The sequence below is a fragment of the Homo sapiens genome, chromosome 2, assembly GCF_000001405.40.
Source record: "Homo sapiens chromosome 2, GRCh38.p14 Primary Assembly".
Lineage (NCBI taxonomy): Eukaryota > Metazoa > Chordata > Mammalia > Primates > Hominidae > Homo > Homo sapiens.
This window is the reverse complement of record NC_000002.12, coordinates 55036947-55062212: the sequence shown is the minus strand read 5'-3', so window position 1 is coordinate 55062212 and position 25266 is coordinate 55036947. Positions and strand designations below refer to the sequence as shown.

Genomic DNA, 25266 nt, shown 5'->3' with positions numbered 1-25266 from the left:
TGCAAGGTTTTATTGAGTGGAAGTAGCTCTCAGCAGATGGAGGAGCCAGAAGGCAGATGGTTTTCCGCTGGAAGTCGGGCTGCTTGGCGGCCCGACTCTTCTCTGACAGCCCTGGCCAAACTCTGTTCTGCCGGTCAATGACCTGCCGGCGTGCCAGTGCCTGTCCGTGTGCTCTTGACGTGCTCTTGACGTGCTCTTGATGTCCTCTCGAAATCCAACCGCTTGTGTGTTCCTCCGCCAATGTGCTTCTCTCAACGTCCAGCCGTTTTTGTGTGTTTGCCTTGCTAGGGTCTCGGGTTTTTATAGGCACAGGATGGGGGCGTGGCAGGCCAAGGGGGTCTTGGGAAATGCAACATTTGGGCGCCAAGGCAGGAGTGCCTGTCGTCACCTAGGTCTATGGGCACAGGACCGGGGGTGGAGCCCTCGCCAGGGACCCACCTTTCTCCTCCCAGCACTTCCCTGCCCCTCTTCTGTATCAATTTGTCATAACATAATTTCAGCTTTACAGAAATCACAAGGGGAAGAGAAACAAGCTAACTGGTACCTTGACGAAGCAATCAAACAAGTTGAGAAGTTGGGACATTCTTCTGTAGAAGAATTGTTCCTGTTTCTGTCTCTTTAACATTGCAGTATCATGAATAAAGGGACTGATATATTTCAAAGAGACTGAGGGGACATAACAACCAGATGTGATGTGTGGTCCTCAGTTGGATCCTGGTTTGGATAAACCAGCTGTAAAGGACATTGCGTGGACAACTGGAGAAATTTCAATATGCATGGGTATTCAAATATAATATGCTATTAAGGAATTATTACTACTGTCAGCTGTGATTGTTATTTTGGCTATGTAGGAAAACTTGGTGGCTCACGTCTGTAATCCCAGCACTTTGGGAGGCCATGGTGGGTGGATCACCTGAGGTCAGGAGTTTGAGACCAGCCTGGCCAACATGGTGAAACCCCGTCCCTACTAAAAATACAAATCAGCTGGGTGTGGTGGCGTGCGCCTGTAACCCCAGCTACTTGGGAGGCTGAGGCAGGAAAATTGCTGGAACCCAGGAGGCGGAGGTTGCAGTGAACCGAGATGGTGCCACTGCACTCCAGCCTGGGTGACAGAGTGAGACTCTATCTCAAAAAAAAAAAAAAAAATTCTTATTTTTAAAATATGCATACTAAAATTTAGACGAAGAATGTCATGATGACTGTTATTTACTTAACATTCTTTAGTATTGGAGGTCCACTTCTAAAGAATAGGATAATGGATACTAGGGGCCAACAAGAAGTCTTCTTTATTTTGAGACAGGATTGTGCTCTCTCACACAAGCTGGAGTACAGTGGTATGATCTTGGCTGACCACAGCCTCGACCTCGTAGGCTCAAGTAATCCTCCCACCTCAGCCTCCTGAATAGCTGGGACTACAGGTGCGTGCCACCATGCTAGCTAATTTTTGTATTTTTTGTAGAGATGGTATTTTGCCATGTTACCCAGGCTGGTCTCAAAATCCTGGAATCAAGCGATCCACCTGCCTTGGCCTCCCAACGTGCTGGGATTATAGCTGTGATCCACCGTGGCCAGCCCAAGAAGTCTTTAGCATACTCTGCCACCAGACTGTGAGTTGCATGAGGGCAAGGATTGTGCCTATTTTGCTTCCATAACCAGTGCTTAATACACTGTCCAGCATATAGTAGCACTCCTTGCATATTTGTTAAACGAATGAATATGTGAGGATGATAAAGGAATGTAGAAATTAACCATGAGTTCCACTGACATTGGGAATCCAGCAGACATCTGTCAAGAGATCACTGCACTTAAAAATAGGTATAACTGAAATATGACAACTATATGCTATAATTAGCACTAAAGAGGTATGAAAAACTATGGAACTGCAAAGAAACAAATAAAAGATAGAAAACATTAAAAAGGTAAAATAATGGCAAGATACTATTGTTAACTGTATTGCCCCATGCCCATTCCTTTTAAAGTCCAGGGCATTGAATTAGCTTTTTGTAATAAAAATAGCCAAATATAAAAAGCTAAATTCTGTGTGTTTTTTGGGAGATTGTTAGAAATCCAATCTATTTTTTTCTCCCCTTACTCTCCACCTTATCTCCTTCTCCTACTACTGCTGTGGGAAGATAGCAAGACACCCACTGGCTGACTGCAGTTTCAATCCATTAGCCAGCGACATTCCAGGAGAGTTTCCCCCTTGTTTGCATCATTAATCAAAACGTATTATGGCTGGGGGCAGGGTGGCTCACCCCTGTAATCCCAGCACTTTGGGAGGCCAAGGCAGGAGGATCGCTTGAACCCAGGAGTTAGAGACCAGCTTGGGCAACATGGTGAAACCCCATCTCTCTCTCTCTTTCTCTCTCTCTCTTTTTTGAGACAGAGTCTCACTCCGTTGCCCAGGCTGGAATGCAGTAGTGCAATCTTGGTTCACTGCAACCTCCACCTCCTGGGTTCAAGCGATTCTCCTGCCTCAGCCTCCTGAGTAGCTGGGATTACAGGCACCTGCCATGACACCCAGCTAATTTTTGTATTTTTAGTAGAGACAGGGTTTCACCATGTTGGCCAGGCTGGTCTCGAACTCCTGACCTCAAGCGATACACCCACCTTGGCCTCCCAAAGTGCTGGGATTATAAGCATGAGCCACTGTGCCCGGCCTGAAACCCCATCTCCAGTAAATATACAAAAATTAGCCAGGTGTGGTGGTGCGTACTTGTAGTCCCATCTACTCCGGAGGCTGAGGTGGGAGGATGGCTTGAGCCTGGGGTGTTGAGGCTACAGTGAGCCGTGATCGCACCACTGCACTCCATCCTGGGCAACAGAGTGAGACTGTCTCAAAAATAAAAAAAGTATTAATTAAATTTCTACTATATGTATTAAGTATATTAAAAAAAAAAAACAATTAAGTCTAAATCATAGATTTTGTCCTTGGGATGTCGAGATCAGCACAGGCAAAACAAAAAGTAAAAAGTCCCAACAAATACCTTATTTTTCTGTGGTGCTTTACATTTACAAAGAGCTTTGACAATGAAATTTCACTTATTCCTGAAACAATACCTTGTCATAGGCTGGGTTGAAAAAAAAATGAATTGACTTGCTCAAGGTCATCTCCGTTATTAGAGATAAACCTGGAATTAGAACCCAAGTTTTCTGGCACCATGTTCTCTAGGTATCACACTACCTTCTGAAAGCCAAAACTTAGGCCAGGCATGGTGGCTCATGCCTGTAATCCCAGCACTCTGAGAGGCCGAGGTGGCGACGATCACTTGAGCTCAAGAGTTCAAGACCAACCTGGGCAACACAGTGAGACCCTCCTCTCTATTATTATAATTTAAAAAAAAAATTATCAAAAAAGAAAGCCAAAACTTAAACCAGAATTGCATTTTTGACTGTACAATGTACCAGGAGCAACTAACAGAGCTGCCACGTGACTGAAATAAATCTTGACTGTAGAGATGATTTCTAAAGCTATCTGTCATTTCTTTGATTTTTTTTCCATTTTTCTTAGCATCCTGGAAGCACCACTTTATTTTCCCTCTTCTTTCTGCTTCCAGCAGCTGCAGACCCAATGTAATCACCAAGAGAGAATGAAAACCTCCAACTACCATGAATCAGGCTTAACACAGTAAGAGAACATTTGGGATTCTACTATAAGAATTTCCACTAAAATTTCGTCAACAAAAAGTTCAGAAGCTGTTAAGCATAGACAAGCCTGAAAGTGGCTGGTAGCTGGCATGTACACCATGGAAATTTCGTATGGGTAAAAAAATGAATCTGATTTTGTGTGGTACATTTAACATTATCACCACCTACACATTCAGTTAAAAGCTGTTCATGGCTGAAGAGAAACCCCTGATTCCCTCCTACATCATATCTCAGCCTAGTTTTGGTAAGATCCGTGGGGAGCTTCATCAAGGATGTTTGCATCCTTTACCCAGAACAAACATTCTAGTAGTGCAACACTCATAGAATCTAAAGAATAGAAGATTAATTTAGTAATATTTAATAAGGAAATGATAATAATAATGTAAATTTAAAAATATTCCCTCCAACTTTTCCCTCTCCTTTATCCCTTGTAGATCATGAATCAGTCCCTGAGGCCTCTCCAGTTTTTAAAGTCCCTCAAATAGGTCCTTTATTTCCAGTCCCACCATCCTAGTTTTAGTTCTCTTTAGCTTTGTGATCAAAACCCACTGAACTACTCTATTATTTATTTATTTTATTTTTGAGATAGGATTTTGCTCTGTTGCCCAAGCTGGAGGGCAATGGTACAATCATGCCTTACTGTAACCTTGACCTCCTTGGCTCAAGCGATCCTCCCGTCTTAGCCTCCCAAGTAGCTAGAACCACATGCATGCACAATCACACCCAGCTAATTTTTTATTTTTTGTAGAGATAGGTTTTTGCTATGTTGCCCAGGCTGTTCTCAAACTACTGGCCTCAAGCAAGCCTCTGCTTTGGCCTCCCTAGGTGCTGGGATTATAGGCGTGAACCACCAGGCCTGGGTGAACTACTCTTAGTACCCATCCTCTTTTCGCTTTCTCAAACGCATTCTTCACATGTTCCAAATAGTTTGCTCAATCAAGTTCTTCTGCTCAAAAATAGAGTGACTTATCAAGTCTTAATTGCTTTTGTGACTTTCAAGGTCCTTTAGAACATGGCTTCACCTTAGCTATGTGACCTTATTCTGCTCTAATAGTAGCAATAATAATAATAATTACTATTGATTGAGTACCCAAGTGCCTGACTCTGTGCTAGGTGCTTTCCTTATACAATTTGCTAACACAAATCCTTACTTCAATTAGACCTGTGTCCTATGGTTCCCATATATACTTTGCTCTCTTCTCAAATGCCTATGCTCTATTTTCTGTACCTTCTATGCCTCCGAATCCTACTATTTTGAGAGTGAGGTCATTTCTCAGCTCCTCCAAAAAATCCGCATACATCATATCAGACCCACTGATTTCTTCCCTATTTGGCTTTCTTGCTAAGCTATGCAGATATTTAATACCACTGTATGGTTATTTAGTTGTTTCAGGTATGTAAATTCATCTCCAGTTAAATAGGAGAGCAATGTAAATGTATTGGCAGCTAAATTTATTGACATCCATGGATGGGCTTTGAAACATGCATGAACCATTGAAAAATTATGTTTTGTGTTTGTGCATTTTTTCTGGGGTCAGAAGTTTTCAAAGCATCCCAAAGAGGTCTATGAAGGGGGTTGGGTTACTTTCTGGATAACAAGCCTTATTTTGAGATCAAGCCTACTACCTAAACCTAGGAATTATATCTTATTGCATAACCTCTGATTCTCCATTGTAAAATTTCTGGCTTTGTTACATAGGCCTGAGTTTTAAAATTCCGACCTGTGTTTTTTACTCTGCTTTAATAAACAGAGTGGGCATCCTGAGTTGTGATGCAGAACACATAATCACTATATTGGGAACTTATTTCAACAATAATTTCTAAATTAAATACTTTTTAAATAGGCAATACAGTTACATAATTTGAAGGTCAAAACTACAGAAAGAGGATATCCAGAGAAGTTTCACTTCTACCTGACTTTTTTTTTTTTGAAATGGGGTCTTGCTCTGTCACCCAGTTTGGGTGACACACTCCATCACGCCCAGCTAATTTTTGTATTTTTTGTAGAAATCAGGTTCGCCATGTTGCCCAAGCTGGTCCCGAACTCCTGACCTCAAGTGATTTGCCCACCTTCGCCTCTCAAAGTGTGGAATTACAGGTACGAGCCACCACAGCCGGCTCACCTTTTCATGTAAAGGAAGCACTTTATGACTTCTCTTTGGCATATCCAGATTGCCAGCGTCCTTACCCTCATACTCTGGGGCCATTATTACGTAAAATAAGGGTTACCTGAATGCAGCACTGTGATACCATGACAGCCGATCTGATCCCAGGGATGGCTGCTAAGTGACTATCACGAGGGGAGGGCAGGGAGCGTAGATAGTGTGATCACTGGACAAAGGGATGATTCACCTCCCTTGAGGGACAGAAGGGGACTGCTTGAGATTTCATCATGCTACTCAGAACAGAACACAATTTAAAACTTATGAATTGTTTATTTTTGGAGTTTTCATTTTAATATTTTTGAACTGCAGCTGACTGAGGGTAACTAAGACCACGGAAAGTGAAAGCATGGATTAAGTGGAACTACTGTGTGTGTACAGATATATATATATATATACACACACACACACACACAAACACATATATGTATATATAGATACATAAATCTATATCATCTACATATATGTATATACATGTATACATCTATATATACACATATTTATAGATATACATTCTTATGTAAACTAGACTATGCATTCTTTGACATTAGGAAATGTGTTTTATCTATTATTTATCACCAGAGCCTAGATGGTCAGTAGGTTTTTGTTTTTGTTTTTTTTGTTTTTTTTTTTGAGACGGAGTCTCGCTCTGTTGCCCAGGCTGGAGTGCAGTGGCGCGATCTCTGCTCACTGCAAGCGCTGCCTCCCAGGTTCACGCCATTCTCCTGCCTCAGCCTCCCGAGTAGCTGGGACTACAGGCGCCCGCCACCACGCCTGGCTAATTTTTTTTTGTATTTTTAGTAGAGACGGGGTTTCACCATGTTAGCCAGGATCATCCTGATCTCCTGACCTCGTGATCCGCCTGCCTTGGCCTCCCAAAGTGCTGGGATTACAGGCGTGAGCCACCGCGCCCGGCCAAGGTCAGTTGGTTTTAGTTGAATCAATGAACAATGTTTAAAGACAGTGACCACTTGGTTTCTATCTATCTCCATTGAAGATTAAATAACAGAACTTACACTTCAACCTTTAAGTATTAAAAATAATAAGTTATATATTAGAATGAGTTGTTAAATTTTGTGGACTCTTTTCTGCCTTCTTTCTTCATATGAGGACACATTTTTATTTGTCTAAGACAGCATAGGATGTCTTCTGCTTGGTTTTGTACTAGTAGATCAAAATTAACTTTCTCGTATCTGAAATAATTTTTTTGCTAGATCAAAATAAATTTCTCCAGGGAAACAATGCATATTCAAATAGCCTAATTTCTAATAATGCAGGGGACCGAAAACAGTTAAAGGAGAAAGATTTGGTTCAGTTTTAATTATGACTTTCACTTGCTTATTATGGGATTTCTTTTTGGGACTTAACATTTTTATTTTAGATCCAACACTAACTGTCAATGCTTAACTAACATGACTGAAGAAGTTGATCTTACATTTATATTTCTATTCTTATTACAGAATGGATTTAATATGTTAAGATGTTGAACAGAACCATGAACTGCATTTCACAAAATGGTACATTTCATAAAATCTAAAATCCCAGCAAAATGATAGGGACAACAACTTAGCACGCTGTTAATTTTTCACTTAAGGGTGCCAAAATGATATTTCAGTCTTTTTTACATAGAAAGGTCAGATGTCATTCAGTGGCGCTCCTGAACACAGGCAAGTCATTTTCAGAGGTGAAAAAGCTGTGGTTGACTGCTCTTGAAACAGGTTTCTCTACAATCCACCTCTCATCTTTCTTCTCTTACCGAACCCACTCTGGTGTTCACGTCCTGCTATATGTAGGCAAGAGTATACCCATCCTACGCCTTTTAACTCTTTTGAGGGGCATACATAATTCAAGGACAATTAACTTGTTCTACAAATACCAGTTTAGGTGTCAATTTAGCATTCTGCAAATAAGGTATAATACTATAGAAATGGAAGGGGTGATTTCCCCAAGTAATAGGTCTCTTACTGAAAACATGCAAGCACGTTTGTGTCTGGCGTAGTGCTGTATTCTTCAAAGTCTTGAGCAGGGCCTGGTGCAGACTGTATACCCAACAAATATTTCTCTTATTAAAAAGTATAAAGTGAAAGCACAAAAGGGATGGTTAAGCAAGATAAGAAAGATGAGAGGTGGATTACAGACACACCTGTTTCAAGAGCAGTCAACCACAGCTTTTTCACCTACTGAAAATGACTGGCCTGTGTTCAAGAGCACCTCTGAATTACATTCAATCTTTCTATTTAAAAGAGACTGAAACATCATTTTGGTACTCTTAAGAATTTTTTTATTTAAATTTTTTATTTGTATAAATTTATGGGTACAAGTGTAATTTTTTTGCATGTATTGATTGCATAGTGGTCACCCTTTTAGTGTATCCATCACCCTAATAATGTACATTGTACCAATAAGGAATTTCTCATCATCCCTTCTCCTTCTCTCCAGTCTTCTGAGTCTCCACTATCATTCCAAACTCTATGTCCATATGTACACTTTATTTAGCTCTTGCTTATAAGTGAGACCATGATAATGGAAGAGAGATTGGTTAAGCTGACCTCCCAAAGTTCTCCCAACCCTAAGATTCTATGATTCTAGCAGGCTGGATCTCTTGTAGTGTTCTCAGAGAGAACAGCTACTAACCAGTGGTATCTGAAAACTTTAATCTTCTACTTCTGATGAGGTATTTTCTTTTCTTTGTTTCTTTTTTTTTTTGTTTTTTTTTGAGATGGAGTTTCGCTCTTTTCACCCAGGCTGTAGTGCAATGGCATGATCTTGGCTCACTGCAACCCCTGCCTCTCAGGTCCAAGCAATTCTCCTGCCTCAGCCTCCCAAGTAGCTGGGGTTACAGGTGTGCACCACCATGCCCTGCTAATTTGGTATTTTTAGTAGAGATGGGGTTTCACCATGTTGGCCAGGCTGGTCTCAAACTCCTGACCTCAAGAGATCTACCCGCCTCAGCCACCCAAAGTGCGGGGATTATAGGCATGAGTCACGGTGCCCGTCTGATAAGCTATTTTCAAATATAAATTATTGAATAATTATTTTAAAACTATTATTAGTATCTAGAATGTGCATTTTTCTTTTAACTGGTTCAAATGTCCACCAGAATTTTGTTAGTGATAGTGATATTTACATCTAGTTACAACAATGTATAACTAGCTTTACTTTTAATTGTGGTAGAGCAGCAACAGCCTCCTTTCTTTTTGCTTTGTTGATCATTCTATGAAAGCTGGGCAAACTCTTTACTCATCTATCTATCAAATACTTATTTTTTTAGAAGTCACTGAGATTAATAAAATTTATTTTTATTCTGCACCAGATAGTGCTTATATTATTGCATCAATATTAACTGCTATTTCCTATTAAAATTGTAAATCTACTATTTATAATTATTCTTTTGTGAAACTTTGATTAAAGATACTCCTTTGAGACTATTTTAGTAGTAGTAGGTACAGGGATATATGAATGCAGAAATATCATATAAACAACTTGCAAATAACGTAAGTCCTGTTTATATTAGACATACATAAAGGCCCTGTGAAACTTATCATTAAGGAATTTCAGAACAGTCATAGTGGGAAAAGCATGCGGGGAAGACTGCTGATAGCTAAACTGTGACAATAGAAAAGGTCGTATCATAAAATACTGTTAGTATATTTTTGTATGTTTATGCAATTGGTTGAAAATCAGGCAAATTTTTTATAATTTTTGATAAATATTTGACAAAGACTTCAAATATGTCTCTTGTAGTCACCATTGTAGAAATTTGTTTTGTTTAAATTCATTTGGCATTAACTTCCCGCCCCAAAATTCTACATCAATACATCTCTCTTCCTACTCTTCCCAACCCCTCCAAAAAATAACACCAAACTCAAAGCAAGTCACAAACGTTTTGCACAAATAAAGCCAGTTCTCCGTGGAATTAATGTGATAGGTCTTGAATATATTGTTGATAATTAACCCAATCAAGTAACATTGCCAGGAAATCTTTATTCTTTTCCTTTTTTAAAGGTTCATAAACTTTATTTCTTAGAGCAGTTTTAGGTTTACAGAAAAGTTGAACAGGAAGTACAGAGTTCCCATACACTCTCACTCCTGCCCCCTAACCACAGTTTCCTCTATTATTATTAACATAACGCATTGAGGTGGTACATTTGTTACAACTGATGAACTGATATTGATATATCATTAACTAAAGTCAATAGTCTACATTAGGGTTCACTCTTTCTGTTGTATAGTCCTGTGGGTTTTGTCAAATGCATAATGTTATGTATCCACCATTACAGGATAATACAGAACAGTTTCACTGCCCCCAAAATCTTCTGTGTTCCACCTATTTATCCCTCCCTCCAACTCTTACTTTTCTTTTTTAATACCCAAATTAAGCCACAGTAATATAAATTAGTTGGAGCTAAGAATTTGCCAGTGATTCCCCATGGCAATCAAACTTTCTTAATTATTAATCTAGACTAGCACTGTCCAAAAGAAATATAATGTGAGCCATTATGTATTTAAAAAACTCTAGAAGCTGCTTTAAAAGGAACAAGTAAAATTAATTTAATAATATTATACTTATCCCAATATATCCAAAATATCAATTTCAACATTCAGTCAACAGGAAAGCTGAGATATTTTACATTTCGGAGGTACTAATTCTTGAAATCCAGTGCGCATTTTACACTTACAGCACATCTAATTTCAGCCTAGCTACATACATTCCGAGTGTTCAATCAGTAGCCACAAGTAGCCAGTACCTGTCAGGTACAGCACAGATTTAGACTTTGAGCAACTTGAAAGCAGGTTATCCTCTTCTCTCCAGGGCCTCCAGAGTAGGCATGCAGTGAATATTTTTGAAAGGTAAATCAGAAAGATAAAAGGATCCTGATTCTTACAAAGATGTTCTGCAACTACTCTCTTTAAACTCTCCAGCCTCATAAAAAGTGGAATGGGGATCATGCTTATTCCTGCATATCAAACCAATGACTATGGGGCTTCCTGACTCCCAGAAAGCCTGAATCATCCGAAATGTTGACTCATGAACCTAAGGTGACTGAAATGTAACGTGAACCAAATTAGCTTTCCAAGGCATCTTTGTATTTCCACTTTCCTGTCTCCCCGCTGCCTCTCTCTTTGGGTGACTCACTCTCTTACCATGTAAGAGTCCAGCAGGCAAGGCCCCAAACTCTCTTTGGAAGAAGAGCAGACTTTCAAATGGTCGGCCCCAGATCCCTAGTTAATTCAGCACAGCTGTTTTCCTCCCAATTTCGGGGGCTGCGGTTTAGACTGAGTGAGCCTAACTGTCAAAAAACAATTTTTTTCTTATTTTAGGGTGGTAGTAGTAGTGATGTAGTTTGGAACTTTGAGTGAACAAATAATCTTTTATTTCAAAAATCTTTAAAAATCCTTAGGGCCCACTTCCCAGTCCCGCTAATACCTTTCTCCAGTCGGGTTTCTTCCTTTCCCGGGAGGAAAGTTTCCACTCTCAGTTCCCCCAGGATAACGCCCTTCCGGTGGCGCGCCAGAAACCGCGCCGACCCCTCCCAGCCAGCAGCCCGCCCCCTTTCCCAGTGCTCTAACGACATACGGACGCCAGCTGCGGGCAAGGCCAAGACCCCACCCCAACTCACGGTTACCCAAAGTGGGGGTGGAGCTCCCAGCTCTCAGCCCCGCCCATTGAACGCAATCCCAGCCGGTAAGAGAGAGGAAGTGCCGTAGTCCCCACCCACTTTCATCTCCTTCCCTTTCTGTTGGCCCGGCTGGTCGCCTATCTTCTCGATCCTGTAGCCGATTGGCTCTCTCCCTCCCGCGCCAGTCCCTGCCCTCCCCTGGGGAGGGTGAGTCACGCCAAACTGGGCGGAGAGTCCGCTGGCCTCACTCCTAGCTCATCTGGGCGGCGGCGGCAAGTGGGGACAGGGCGGGTGGCGCATCACCGGCGCGGAGGCAGGAGGAGCAGTCTCATTGTTCCGGGAGCCGTCACCACAGTAGGTCCCTCGGCTCAGTCGGCCCAGCCCCTCTCAGTCCTCCCCAACCCCCACAACCGCCCGCGGCTCTGAGACGCGGCCCCGGCGGCGGCGGCAGCAGCTGCAGCATCATCTCCACCCTCCAGCCATGGAAGACCTGGACCAGTCTCCTCTGGTCTCGTCCTCGGACAGCCCACCCCGGCCGCAGCCCGCGTTCAAGTACCAGTTCGTGAGGGAGCCCGAGGACGAGGAGGAAGAAGAGGAGGAGGAAGAGGAGGACGAGGACGAAGACCTGGAGGAGCTGGAGGTGCTGGAGAGGAAGCCCGCCGCCGGGCTGTCCGCGGCCCCAGTGCCCACCGCCCCTGCCGCCGGCGCGCCCCTGATGGACTTCGGAAATGACTTCGTGCCGCCGGCGCCCCGGGGACCCCTGCCGGCCGCTCCCCCCGTCGCCCCGGAGCGGCAGCCGTCTTGGGACCCGAGCCCGGTGTCGTCGACCGTGCCCGCGCCATCCCCGCTGTCTGCTGCCGCAGTCTCGCCCTCCAAGCTCCCTGAGGACGACGAGCCTCCGGCCCGGCCTCCCCCTCCTCCCCCGGCCAGCGTGAGCCCCCAGGCAGAGCCCGTGTGGACCCCGCCAGCCCCGGCTCCCGCCGCGCCCCCCTCCACCCCGGCCGCGCCCAAGCGCAGGGGCTCCTCGGGCTCAGTGGGTGAGTGCCGCGACCTCTCGCTTCGCGCCGCCCCTCGCGCCCCTCCCTCTTTTGTGTGCAGCCCCAGATGCTTTGGGCTGGTCCCTCCTCTCCGCCCCGAGGGCGCTTTGTCTGCGGACTTCGGGGCGATGGCGCCCCGTCTGGTTGGAAGCGCGGGGAGAAGGGTGGGGCGGCCCTTGGAGCCCGGGTTTGTTCTTATTGTCCGTCTTGGTTTCGGGGAACACGTGCACCGCTCCCGGCTCCCACTTTCACCCTGTGTGATGCCCAGCGTACGGATTCTCGGAAGTTAGGCACCCACCCGTAGTAGGAGCCGGGTATATACCCGAGAGCCAGGGTTGTGGATTTATCGGGTTGGTTGGGCTTCGAGGTGAGGAAGGAAAGGCCTTGGCACCCAGATATTTTTAGGAGGTGCTTTTGTCTACCCGTCTGGGTTGCTCCTTTGGAAAAGGTGCAGTTTTGCTGCGGGTCTGTTGGCCTGCATTCTGCCCCGGGCTCCCTCCTCACCTCCTGGCTGGCGTGGGTGGCCCCTTTGCGCTTCCCCTCCCCCTCCTCCTGTGCTCGTGGGGAGCTGGCCGAGTGGAAAACGTCCACATTGACCCAACCGCAGTGAAGGGAGAGCGCCTCCAGTGGTGTGGTGCGTGGAGAAATGGGAAGGAGAGAGTTCTGGTAAAGTCCTGCCACCGCCCAGCTCCCCGGGGTGTGATGTGGACTGCTCCCCACCAGCTAAACCGAGCCAGGGAAAGGGGATCTAGGCATTGTGTTCGAGGGGGCGTAGTTCTGCCGGGGTTTCAGCTGCAGGGTCGGAGGAATTGCTGTTAGTGTGGACTTGGCCCAGCCTCTTAGTGCATCATAATTGAATCTTACAGAAAAAAATAAAAGGCAAAATGGTTGACATTCCTAAAGAAGGGAAAACCTGTGGATTCCTTGCCAGGAATTGGCTAATTGAACTCGTGGCAGATTTACCATGAGACACAGAGAAATGTTTTGAGACAGACATTTTCATATATATTGGTTAGAAATACTGTTTTTCAGAAGGATATGTTTTAGGTTACAGAATCAAAATACGGTCACGTGCCTCATAACGACGTTTAGGTCAAGGACAGACCGCATTTGCAACGGTGGCTCCATAAGGTTGTAATGGAGCTGAAAAATTCCTGCCGCCTAGCGACGTCTTGATCTTGACCCTGTGTAGGCCTAGGGTAATGCGTTTGTATCTTAGTTTTTAACAAAAGTTAAAAAAAAAATAGAAAAAAGCTTATAGAATAAGAATATAAAATTTCTTTTCTATAGCTTTAAAATGTGTTTGTGTTTTAAGTTAAACGTTATTACAAAAGAGCCAAAAAGTTTATAAAATAGAAAAGATACAGTAAGCTAAGGTTGATTTATTATTGAAAAAATATATCTAAAGATAAATTTAGTGTAGCCTAACCGTAGAGTGTCTGTAAGTTGTACAGTAGTACATGGTAATGTCCTAGGCCTTCACATTCACTCACTACTCACGTCCACAGCAGCTTCCAGGCTGGCAAGCTCTGTTCATGGCCAGTGCCCTGCACACGTGTGCCATCTTTTAATCCTTTGTACAGTGTTATTTTAGGTATGTTTAGATAAACACTACACAAATACCATTGTGTTACAGTTGCCTACAGTAACATCCTGTATAGGTTAGTAGCCTAGGAGCAATTGATTATACCATATAGCCTACATATAGGTATGTAGTAGGCTCTACCATCTAGGTTTCTGTAAGTATACTGTGAGGTTTGCACAACGACAGAATTGCCTAACAATACATTTCTCAGATCCTGTTCCCCCTGTTCAGCGAGGCATGACTATGTATGGTCTGTAAAATAGTTTTCAAGTTCTTTCATTCACCTAAGTTCCTGATTGTATGTTATTATTAGTCACGTTGTTTTATTGCCGTTTTCATCTTGGGAAATTATTTTGGAAGCGAAAAAAATCACGTTTGTTAGAGATTGAGAATGCATAATATTAGATACATTCATAAGTACTTGCTACTTCGGGGACAGAAAGTGTCCCACTAGCAGTAGGACCTTTATGTATAAAAGGTCAAGAATCAAGTAGTGTAACTGCCTGCTTGGAAATCTTCATAGCCTTGTAGGATGTTAGAGGTGATTCATTTCTTAAAAGAAAATCAGTCTGATTTTTTTTTTTCTCAATTCACTTCTCCATAATGGGGGAAAATAAGCCAATTGCGATGCTTTTTAGTAATATTTTGATGTTGACGGACTCCTCACCCCCATACTACTCAAAACACTAATTGCCATATTAAAGGTCTTAGAAGATGAGGAGTAACTCAATCTTTTCCTTTTTCTTTATGAAAAAGACATACTTGAGGGAAACTGAGGTAAGAGAAAAATATGAAATATATTTTTAAACAGGAATTTTTTTTTTTTTTTTTTGAGATAGTCTCCCCCTTGTCACCAGGCTGGAGTGCAATGACGCAATCTTGGCTCACTGCAACCTCCGCCTCCCAGGTTCAAGTGATTCTCCTGCCTCAGCCTCCCGAGTAGCTGGGATTACAGGCGCCTGCCACCACGCCTGGCTAATTTTTGTATTTTTAGTAGAGACGGGATTTTACCATGTTGGCCAGGCTGGTGGTCTTGAACTCCTGACCTCCAGTGATCCACCCACCTTGGCCTCCCAAAGTGTTGGGATTACAGGCATGAGCCACTGCGCCTGGCCACAGGAAGTTTAATGATTGACAAAAGCATACTAATCTTGTATTGGTATGGGAACAAAGAAAATAGTTCTGTCTTTGAACATTAGGGATTCAGGGGGTGACAGCACTCTCTTGGAATCTTGTGTGTTGGAATGCTGAGGTTGGAAGGCAATGGGGAAAGAATATTGCCTGTTCTACAGAGTTCCCTAATTCCATATTGATGATACCTATTGGGAAACTTTAGTTTTTTTAGTAAGTGTAAGAACATTGTGATTATGGTTGTGGATAGTTAACCATTTTCAATGTGTCTGGATTTCTTAATGCATTCAAGAGTTTGTTCATTAATTCAACCCATTATTGATTACCTACCAAGAGACAGGATCTATTCTAAGCTTTGAGGGTATAGCAATAAGCAAGACACATGCTCCCCCTTGGGAGAGTACAGATAATAAGCACATAAATAAAGAACCCAGAATAGTGGTGTTATGAGGAAAATAAACAGGATAATGGCATAGAGAATGATGGGGATTTATGGGGGCTTTTTTAGGTTAGGTGACACTAAGACAGGCTTAGAAGGTGAGATTTGAGCTGCAGAGAGAAAACATTTCCAAGCAACTTCAGGGCAAAACCCTGAGGCAGGAATGAGCTCTTTGTGTCTGAGAATCTAGTGTAAGACTAGTGAGAAAAACTAGTGGGAGAGTGAAGAGGTGGCCTTACCCACCCAGATCATTGGGGGTCTCTAACAGGCAATGGTAAAAATGTTTAGCTTTTTAAAAAAATAAAAATATGCTTATTAAATAATTATATTGTGATTTTGGAACTAAAATAAGTTTGGAAGATTCAGGGCTACTGAGAGGACTGATGTGAGACAAAGGTGAGAAATGTGCAGAGCAGGGTTAGAAGCATAGACTAGCCTGCCTGGAAGAGAGGGTTTCTAGATCACTGACACTTGTCTGTTTAACATTGCTGTTTACGTTATTTATGAGTAAGCCCTGATTTTCATCTGTTAATAAGTTGTAATTTTACTGTTTGCTGTTGTGCCCAGAGCATCTCCATCGCAATGCAGTAACTGAAGTGAGACTAAAACCTCTCACTTGAGGGCCATTTTTCATGGGAAAATACTTGGCTTAGTGGTTGGTTAAGTTAGGCTTTGAGGATATGCGCAGAAAACTCTGGCTAGAAATCGATTTGAGAGCAGTGCAAACATAATTAAGGGTGACTTCGAACTGGTCTCTGGACATGTTCTAAACCAAGGTTAATTAAGACCGAAAATATGTAGATCTGGATTCTGAAAGATACTGAATGCCAAATTAAGGAATTTGGATTTTATCATTCCACTTTAATCCATGCTCTGCTATCCAGTTGCCCTTGCTTTTGGTAATTTATATTATGAAACCAAAATTGTTTTTTTTAATTGTTGTTTCTAAAGTTATTGTTTTTCACCCCTTCTCGAATTAGAGCTTTTGGCTTTGGGAAGACAGCCATTGAAGGTTATTTGAACTGAGGCAAGGCACCGTGAAAGCAGTATTAGAAAATTGGTGACAATATTCAAGATAGGTGGGAAGGAAAAGCAGATGAATTATTTAGAAAGCTATTACAGTAGTTCTGAGAAAGATGAGTAGGGCCTGAACTATTTCATTATTTGTTCATTCAGTGAAAATGGAATAGAAGGGAGGAATATAAGAGTATAAGAAGCACGCTTTCTTTAATTGGCTGTGAATCTGTTTTTATAGTTAGTTTACGAAGAGGCTGTATGAAAGACGAATTGATAGGACTTGGAAACCATGAATGTAAAGACAAAGAAAAGAATATTAGTGCTTATTAAATCAGTTTCAGAGACTGCCAAAATTTAATTGCCATGAAAATTTGTATAAAATTGAATATTGCTCATAAATACAGATTATGGGTTGGGGCTTAAAAATTACTAGTTTTTACTATCATGAAGCCATTTATTATATGATCATTTTTATTGGCGTAGTAGCATGTATTAGAAATTTTAAGATTTTGAGTGACATATGGTTTAAATATTAGGTATCAGTTCTTAATATAAAGTCCAAGTTCCCAGGAAGTGGATGCTTCTAAACACAAGAAAGTCATGCCCTGTCCATTCCCCACTTTCATTTTTGTGATTCTGAATAATTTCTGGTTAAGCCATTTCTTATTTTTAAAAGTTGGGAATAAGTAGTATACTCCTCATGGATATGGTGAATTATGTTTCAGATTGGTTCCTGGGCAACTGAGTGTCAAATTTGTGGTCTTTTTTTTTTTTTTTTTTTTTTTTTAGTGATTTGCAAACTCTCTCAAATCCTTTTTAAAATGAAGTGATGGGTATATGTGGAACCACTGATAAATAACTGCATGGAATAGTGTTTAGAAAACATGCTATTTTAGTGCTATATTATTGTAAACTTAAAGGATTTGCCATGTTATAAAAACATTTCTGAAAAGGAGCATGTTACCTATTGTCCATTAATTGGCTTTGTTTTATGTGTAGTTATTTTCTTTTTAAAAATCTAAAAACCAAAAAACAATGGTCTCACTTTTGTCCAGGCTGGTCTCAAACTTGGGGCCTGAAGCAATCCTCCTGCCTGGACCTCCCAAAGTGCTGGGATTACAGGCATGAGCCACCATGCCTGGCAAGTTTTTTTGTTTGTTTGTTTGTTTGTTTGTTTCTTTTGAGACAGAGTCTTACTCTGTCGCTCAGGCTGGAGTGCAGTGGCATGATTATGGCTCACTATACCCTTGACCTCCTGGGCTTAAGCAGTCCTCCCACTTCAGCCCCCCAGGTAGCTGAGACTACAGGTGCACACCACCATGCTGGCTATTTTTAAAATTTTTTAAAAAAACTTTTATATTTATGTATTTATATTTTGGAGACAGGGTCTTGCTCTTTCACCCAGGCTAAAGTATAGTGGTGCAGTCTTGGCTCACTGCAGCCTCATCTTCTGGGCTCAAGTGATCCTGCCACCTCAGCCTCCCAACTAGCTGGGACCACAGGCACGTACCACCACGCCCGGCTAATTTTTGTGTTTTTCGTGCAGATAGGGTTTCGCCATGTTGCCCAGGCTGGGCTCAAATTCCTGAGGTCAAGCAGTCTTCTCGAAGTGCTGGGTTTACAGGCGTGAGCCACCACACCCAGCCTAAATATATTTTTATTTTTATTTTTATTTTATTTTATTTTTGAGGTGGAGTCTTGCTCTGTAGCCCAGGCTGGAGTGCAGTGGCGCAATCTTGGCTCACTGCAACCTCCACCTCCTAGGTTCCAGCAATTCTCCTGCCTCAGCCTCCCGAGTAGCTGGGACCACAGGCATGTGCCACCACACCTGGCTAATTTTTGTATTCTTAGTAGAGACGGGGTTTCACCATGTTGGCCAGGCTGGTCTTGAACTCCTGACCTCAGGTGACCCACCTGCCTCGGTGTCCCACAATTCTGGGATTACAGGTGTGAGCCACTGCTCCCAGCCTTATTTTTATTTTTTTAAAGATGGGGTCTTACTATGTTGGCCAGGTTGGTCTTGAACTCCTGGGCTCAAGCAGTTCTCCCACCTCGACTTCTGAAAGTGTTGAAATTACAGGTGTGAGCCACTGTGCCCCGCCATTTATTTTCATAATATACCTTCAAGCAACTTATTAGAATAACTTGATTCAAAGCCTCAATTTAATGGTTCCTTTTTAAGGTACTTTGCTAGCCCAGGATAAAAGTATAAACTGAATGGCTATTTCTTGATTCTTCCCTGGAACCCTTAAATAAATAGAAGTAAATGTTGCAGATATACTATACTTATGGTACATTCTTTGAGACTTTTTGTTCCTGTTTCTAAAGGGATCAGGTTCTTCTGAGGATGACAGCACTAGGGATGGGAACTGTAATGGTAAAACCATAGTTCTCAGTAGTGTTTGAATGAATGTGACCTTTGTGGATAGCTAGTGCAGGACATAGGTATGCAAAATGATGAGACCCAGCTTTACTGATGCTAAGATTTTCTCAGACTAATGCCATCATCATCCTTTTTAACCCCAAAGGAGGAGTTGATAATTTCATATTTAAGCTATTGATATTTATGTTTCTTGGAATGATGATCATTGATTTTTAAGTTGCTTTCATCACGTGTTTCCATAATATTCTGTTCTTACCTCTTCATAGTATATATCATTCTATATAAGGTAATGGTATGGTTACTGATTTCTTTCCTCCACCAGACAGTGTACTCCTTGAGGAAAGGTGCTGTGACCTTTTTCTTTGAGGAAAAGGACTGTATGCATTGTGTCTGCATTGCAGTGCCTTAGATGTGATAGGCACTCAGTTTGTTGAATGAGAAAGATGCTGATCTTCATATTCTGTATAGTTCTAGAATTACTATAATATCTTCTCTCAATAAAAATCCCAAATCTTACGAAAGCATTTATTTATTTATGTATACAAGGTAACAATTCCAAACAGTACTACAAGAATACACAGAAAAGTAACTCTTTCTACCTGTTACCCAGATTTCCACAAATTGTCTTCTGTAGATCCACCCTCTGTTAGTAGTTTCTTGAGTATCTGTTTAGAGATAATCTGTGGATAAATATTTATTTATACATGTATATCCTTTTCACTTTATTTTCCACAAAAATAGATGCAGAGGACTCTGGGGATGTACCATATTTTATTTAATCAGTCCCTTATTGATGGTTATTTAGGTTGATACTTAGTTTTTTCTCTTACAAATACTATTTCTGTGAACACTCTTGTATACACTTCTTTGGGAATACATGCCATTATATATGTTGTAGGATAAATCTGTGCAAGTAGAATTACTGCTTCAAAGGATATTTGCATTTAAAATGTTGGTAGCTAATGCCAAAGTGTCATTCAAAGAATGGTTCCAACCTTTATTCCCACCAACCTGTTAAGGTACCTTTTCCCTTATATCTTTACCAACACAGTATATTAGTGAACTAATACATTGTTTAGCAAATTGTTCTTTTAAATTTGAGTCATTTTTCATAGGCTTAGGTGTCAAATTTTTTCTGATCACAGCTTTTGCCTATTCTTTTGGGTTTTTGGTCTCATGTATGTAGATTCACTTAATCTGCATTGTAAGGAAACTAGCCTTTTGTCATATGTCTTGAAAACTTTTTATTGATTTGTTATTTGTATTTTGACCATATGGTATGTTTTTCTGTTTAGAAATTTTTATGTAGTCAGATTTATCATTTTCTTTTATGACTTTGAGTCATAAAAGTGAAAAAAGTCATTGAGTTTTATGTAATCCTTAGAAAATCCTTCTTGAGGATCATAAAAATTTTCCCCCATGTTTACTCCTAGTAAGTACTTTTATACTTTTTATGATTTCATTTTAACATTTAATTATTTGATTTATTTGCAGTTTGTTTTGTTCTAGAGAGTGAAGTAGTGAAATAATTTTATATTTCAAGATTATTTCCCATTTGTTCCAATACCTTTTATTTTGAATTATCCTTCTTAACCACTTTGAAGTACCATTTTTGTCATATTCTTGTAGTATGGGTGAAATATTTCCTCTGCTTTTCCATTTATCTGTCAGTTCACACAGAAGTATCAGACTGTTGTGCTATAATTTTTAAATACTAGCTAAACGGCTTTTCCATAAATATTTTTCTTGGCTATCTTATGTGTGTATAATTTTCTACTTCATCTTAAAATTTTTTTTATCTTGTCCCCTCTCCCTCTGTTGGAGTTTTAGTAGGTTGCATTACATTTATGGATTAATTTTGGGGAGAATTGAAATACATTCGGTGTTGATATTGTGTATTTTTCCATAAACACGTGGTTTTTATTAACATGTATTTAAAAAAAATTTAGCATATAATTAGGTGAACTAGAGACTTTTAAAAATAAATATTCTAGCCTCCTTGTAACATACTGAATTATACAGGTATTTGGCTCTCTCTTTTCAATTGATAATTGACTGAGAAAGAAAGCTAAGTCTTCCTGCTTTTTCATTTCCAAAAAAAAAAAAAAATTGTGTTGAGAAAGAAAGAAATATTCTCTGTACTCTTGTATTAGGAGCTATAGCTGCCAAATACTGGATTTTTTTTTTTTAAAGCAGTCTCTTTACATAGGTGGCCCTCTACTTTTCAAAAATAATTATTTCTTTAATAGCTTGTTTTTCTCATTGATGGAATTGTTACCACAGATACAGAAAGTTTATAAAGTTTTGTTGTTCAAGAGTTTGGAGTTGCTGCTTATATTGGTGGTCTCTTGGAAGTTCAATATTAAGAAAAAAATTAATATATTCCTTTTTTTTTTTAACTAGGCCTAGGGCTGAGTAAGAGGACAAGAAAGATGAATAGAGGTTGTACTTATGAGAGGTATAGGTAGCAGATGAAGGAAAAAATACAGGCCCTTAGTTGTAAAGAATTTTCTGCTCTTAAAACCAGAGGAGTTTTGTGATTGGCCTTACAGGACATATTTACAGATCTGTGAACTGCTTTTGTGGAAAGAGAGAAGCTTACTTAAGGATTCCAGGTCTGCCTACGTGTTCTTTCTCCCCAACTTTGTAGGTTGATTTATAAACTCGCCTAAATGGAAGGTGCCATTATTGAGTTCATTTATCTCAGTGCCCTGACAACCGTAGATGGAGGTGACCTAAAAGTGTTACAACTTTTTTTTTTTAAGCTACTAGAGGTTTTGATCTCAGAAAATAAGGGAATTTACTTTTATTTATTCTCTTCTGAAGAGGTTACCAAAGATGCTTGTATCTGTGTTATAAATCCCTTTCATAGTCTAGAACTTCAGTCTCAATTCATCAACATCATTGTTAAATTATGGAAAGTTTTATTTTATCAAATTCTGATATTTTAATTTTGTATAAAAACCAAATTTTATATAAAATAACTTGATAAAAACTTTGTTAGATGCTTTTGCTTGCATAGGTGAATTATTGAAAATCAGAATATAGAAGATCAAGTTAGTATTTCATTATATTTTATAGGCTATATGTACTGCACAGAGATCTGCCATAAGGATTAGGGCTATAAGACATCACTTTTGAACAAGGACTGAGAAACTGCCACCTACAACATACCTTCTCATTTACCCTCTCTCATCAACCAAACTTACTCTTGTTCCCTTATTAAAATTTTGTTAATGAAATATGTTGCAGGGGATATGGTTAAGTTTAAGATTGATAGACTCAAACATGTATATATTTTAATGGAATACTAAAAGAGTTGAGGGTAAAACTACGGTTAAAATGTCTTCAATACAATAGAATTAGTATCAAGCATCCAGCTAATGTTCACATTTCCATTTATTTATTTAGAGATGGAGTTTCACTCTTGTCACCCAGGCTGGAGTGCAGTGGTGTAAGTTTGGCTCACTGCAACCTCCACCTCCTGGGTTCAAGTGATTCTCCTGCCTCAGTCTCCGAGTAGCTGTGATTACAGGCACCCAACACTACACCTGGCTAATTTTTGTATTTTTAGTAGAGATGGGGTTTCACCATATTGGGCAGGCTGGTCTCGAATTCCTGACCTCAGGTGATTCACCTGCCTCGGCCCCCCAAAGTGCTGGTGTGAGCGAGCGCGCCTGGCCTCACATTGACTATTATTTACTGAATGTCATAAATGGTCTTTCTTTCTTTCTTTTTATTTTTACAGTTAGAATCAGAATTCGAGTAAGGTCCACATATTACAATAGATCAATTTGATTTATTAGTCTTTTAATCTATCGATGAGTTCTCCCTTGCTTGTGGTCTCTCTCTCTCTGCAATTTATTTGTTGAAGAATGCCCATACACCTTTTTCACCTTAATGTTTTTATTAAGATATAATTTACATGCAGTAAAATGCATAAATTTTAAGTTTCAACAGTTTTACATTTTGACAAATGCGTACATTAGTTTATCCACACCTCTGACAAGATATAGAACATTTCTATCATCCTAGAAAGATCTCTTGGGTCCTTAGCAGTCAGTCCTTCAATTCTTTGCTCTGGTTCCTACCCGCAACACCAATCCCAAACAACTACTGTTTTGATTTCTTTCATCATAGATTAGTTTTACGTATTTTAAAGCATCAATCATATGAATGGAATCATACATTTTGTGCTTGGCTACTTGCATTCAGCATGATGCTTTTAAGACTTACTAATGATGCTGCAGGTATCAGTAATTTGTTCCTTTTAACTGCTGAGTGGTATTCCATGCTAAGAATAGCACAGTTTAATTATGTATTCACTCGTTGGATGTTTGGATTATAGTTTTTGGCTACTATGAACAAAATGCTGTGAACATTCTTACATAGACATTTTTGTATGCATATATTTTCATTTCTCTTAGGTAAATACTTGAGAGTAGAATTGCTGAGTCATGGGGTAACTATATATTTAACTTTATAAGAAGTTGCTTAACTGTTCCCCCAACCACTTCCACCAGCAATGTGTGAGAATTCTGGTGGCTTTACGTTTTCACCAACATTTGATATTGTCAGTTTTTTAAATTCTAACCATTTTAGTGGTTATGTAGTGGTTCCTCATTGTGGTCTTAATCTAGATTTCCCTAGGGACTAATGAATTAGAGGACTTTTACATGTCCTTTGTGTGTGTTTTCTTTGGTGAAGTGTCTGTTCAAGTAATTTGCCCATTCTTAAATTGTGTTGTATGCCTTTTTTTTTCCTACATATTTGTAAGAGTTCTCTCTATATATTATGAATACAAATCTTTGGTCTGATACATGTGTTGTGAATATATTCTCCTAGTCTGTAGCTTGCCTATTAATTTTATTGATTCTTTTGATGAGTATAAATTTTTAATTTTGAGAAGTCATAATTACTTTTTCTTTCATGGTTAGTGCTTTCTTTGTGATGTCTAAGACATCTTTGCCTCCTTCCAGGATTGTGAAGACACTTTGGTTTCTTCTAGAAGCTTGATAGTTTTAGCTTTTGTTTGTCTTGATCCGTTTTGAGGTAGTTTTTGTCTATGGTATGAGTTACCATAGATCCAGATTTATTTGTTTCTTTTCCATACATATAATAAGCAGTTTTCCCAGCAGAGTTTTTTGAAAATATTTTTCTCTTTCTATTGAATTGCTTTGGTGCCTTTGGGAAAAGAAATTGACCATATGAAGTGTGTCTATTTATATATATCTATTTTGTTCTACTGATTTGTCTATCCTTATGCCAATACTTGATTATTGTAGTTTTATAGCAAGTCGTAAAATTAAGTAGTATGACTGCAAGTTTGATCTTTTTTCAAAATTGTTTTGTGTCTTCTAGGTCCCTTAGTATTTCTGCATAAATTTCAGAATCAGCTTGTTCATTTCTATAAAATGCCTGTTATGAATTTGATTGGGATTGCATTGAATCTAGAGATTAGTAGGGGGGATAAGTGACGTCTTAGGATTTGAGATTTTACACTACTTCAAAGGTAACAAGTTAGCCTGTCATAGTTTCATGGATGCTGGCAGAGGATATAAGATGCCTGGGTCAGAGGCAGAGGACTTTATTACTCACAGCAATGACAGTAGCCAGAATATTAGCATTTTCTTGTGCCAGTTCCCTCAGCTCCATTTCACATGGAGCAACACTGAGATGGCTGAGTGAGATCTGCACCTGTAGCAGGTTGTATTATAGACAGAAATCTTAAGCTTAGGGAAACAAATCTTTTGTGTCATATAATAAGCATGGCTGCTAGTTGCTGAAGAAGAAGAAACTGTCCCTGTTTTCCAAGGCTGTTCACAATACAAATGTTTTTAAAAGATAGGAACAAAGGGAAGATGTGTAAAAACACAATATACTCATAGAGAACTGTTTCCTGACACTCAACAATATTATATCTTTCAACCCATGAATGTGATATCTCTGTTGTTTAGATCATCTGTAATTTCTCTCAGCAGTGTGTTTCAGTATAGCAGTTTTGTGCATCTCTTGTCAAATTTATGCCTAAATATTTTATGTTTTTTTGTTACAGTGAGTGATATTTAGAAAATATTTTCATTTTCTCTTTGTTGCTACTGTATGGAAATAGAGTTAAGTTTTGTGTACTGTCTTTGCATCTATCCTGTATCCTTATAAATTCACTACTAGCTTTGGTAGGGTTATTTTATTTTGAATCCTTAGGATTTTCCAACTATACAGTCCTGTTGTCTGTAAGTTAAG

General features: G+C 40.1%; 1 protein-coding gene across 12 annotated transcripts in view, besides 5 other annotated features; it reads left to right on the top strand.

Moving 5' to 3' along the window:
- The window catches only part of RTN4 (reticulon 4), a 165643-nt gene that overhangs the window by 75619 nt on the left and 64758 nt on the right, over window positions 1-25266 (top strand). For 3 of the 12 annotated variants that reach the window (NM_153828.3, NM_207520.2, NM_020532.5), the window contains exon 1: window positions 11762-12468. The exons of 1 other annotated variant lie outside the window; for it this stretch is intronic. In NM_153828.3, the coding sequence (NP_722550.1) occupies window positions 11913-12468 (556 nt within the window). In that variant the 5' untranslated portion in view covers window positions 11762-11912. Of the gene's footprint in view, window positions 1-10940; window positions 11497-11614; window positions 12469-12521; window positions 12656-13056; window positions 13135-13546; window positions 13668-14886; window positions 15398-25266 lie in introns of those variants that run through there. 8 more of the 12 variants (NR_135829.2, NM_001321861.2, NR_135830.2 and 5 more) reach the window with 6 other exon arrangements.
- Window positions 11932-11981: an enhancer, noted in NCBI's record as "active region_15773". NCBI's record gives its function as "activates an Ori minimal core promoter by ATAC-STARR-seq in GM12878 lymphoblastoid cells {active_cell/tissue: GM12878}" and the evidence as "EXISTENCE:reporter gene assay evidence [ECO:0000049][PMID:35858748]".
- Window positions 11932-12756: a biological region, named in NCBI's record as "NANOG-H3K27ac-H3K4me1 hESC enhancer GRCh37_chr2:55276593-55277405".
- Window positions 11944-12756: an enhancer, noted in NCBI's record as "NANOG-H3K27ac-H3K4me1 hESC enhancer chr2:55276593-55277405 (GRCh37/hg19 assembly coordinates)". NCBI's record gives its function as "activates a minimal SCP1, AML or CMV promoter by ChIP-STARR-seq in primed H9 embryonic stem cells {active_cell/tissue: H9 hESC(primed)}" and the evidence as "EXISTENCE:reporter gene assay evidence [ECO:0000049][PMID:30033119]".
- Window positions 12122-12181: a silencer, noted in NCBI's record as "silent region_11495". NCBI's record gives its function as "represses an Ori minimal core promoter by ATAC-STARR-seq in GM12878 lymphoblastoid cells {active_cell/tissue: GM12878}" and the evidence as "EXISTENCE:reporter gene assay evidence [ECO:0000049][PMID:35858748]".
- Window positions 12322-12441: a silencer, noted in NCBI's record as "silent region_11494". NCBI's record gives its function as "represses an Ori minimal core promoter by ATAC-STARR-seq in GM12878 lymphoblastoid cells {active_cell/tissue: GM12878}" and the evidence as "EXISTENCE:reporter gene assay evidence [ECO:0000049][PMID:35858748]".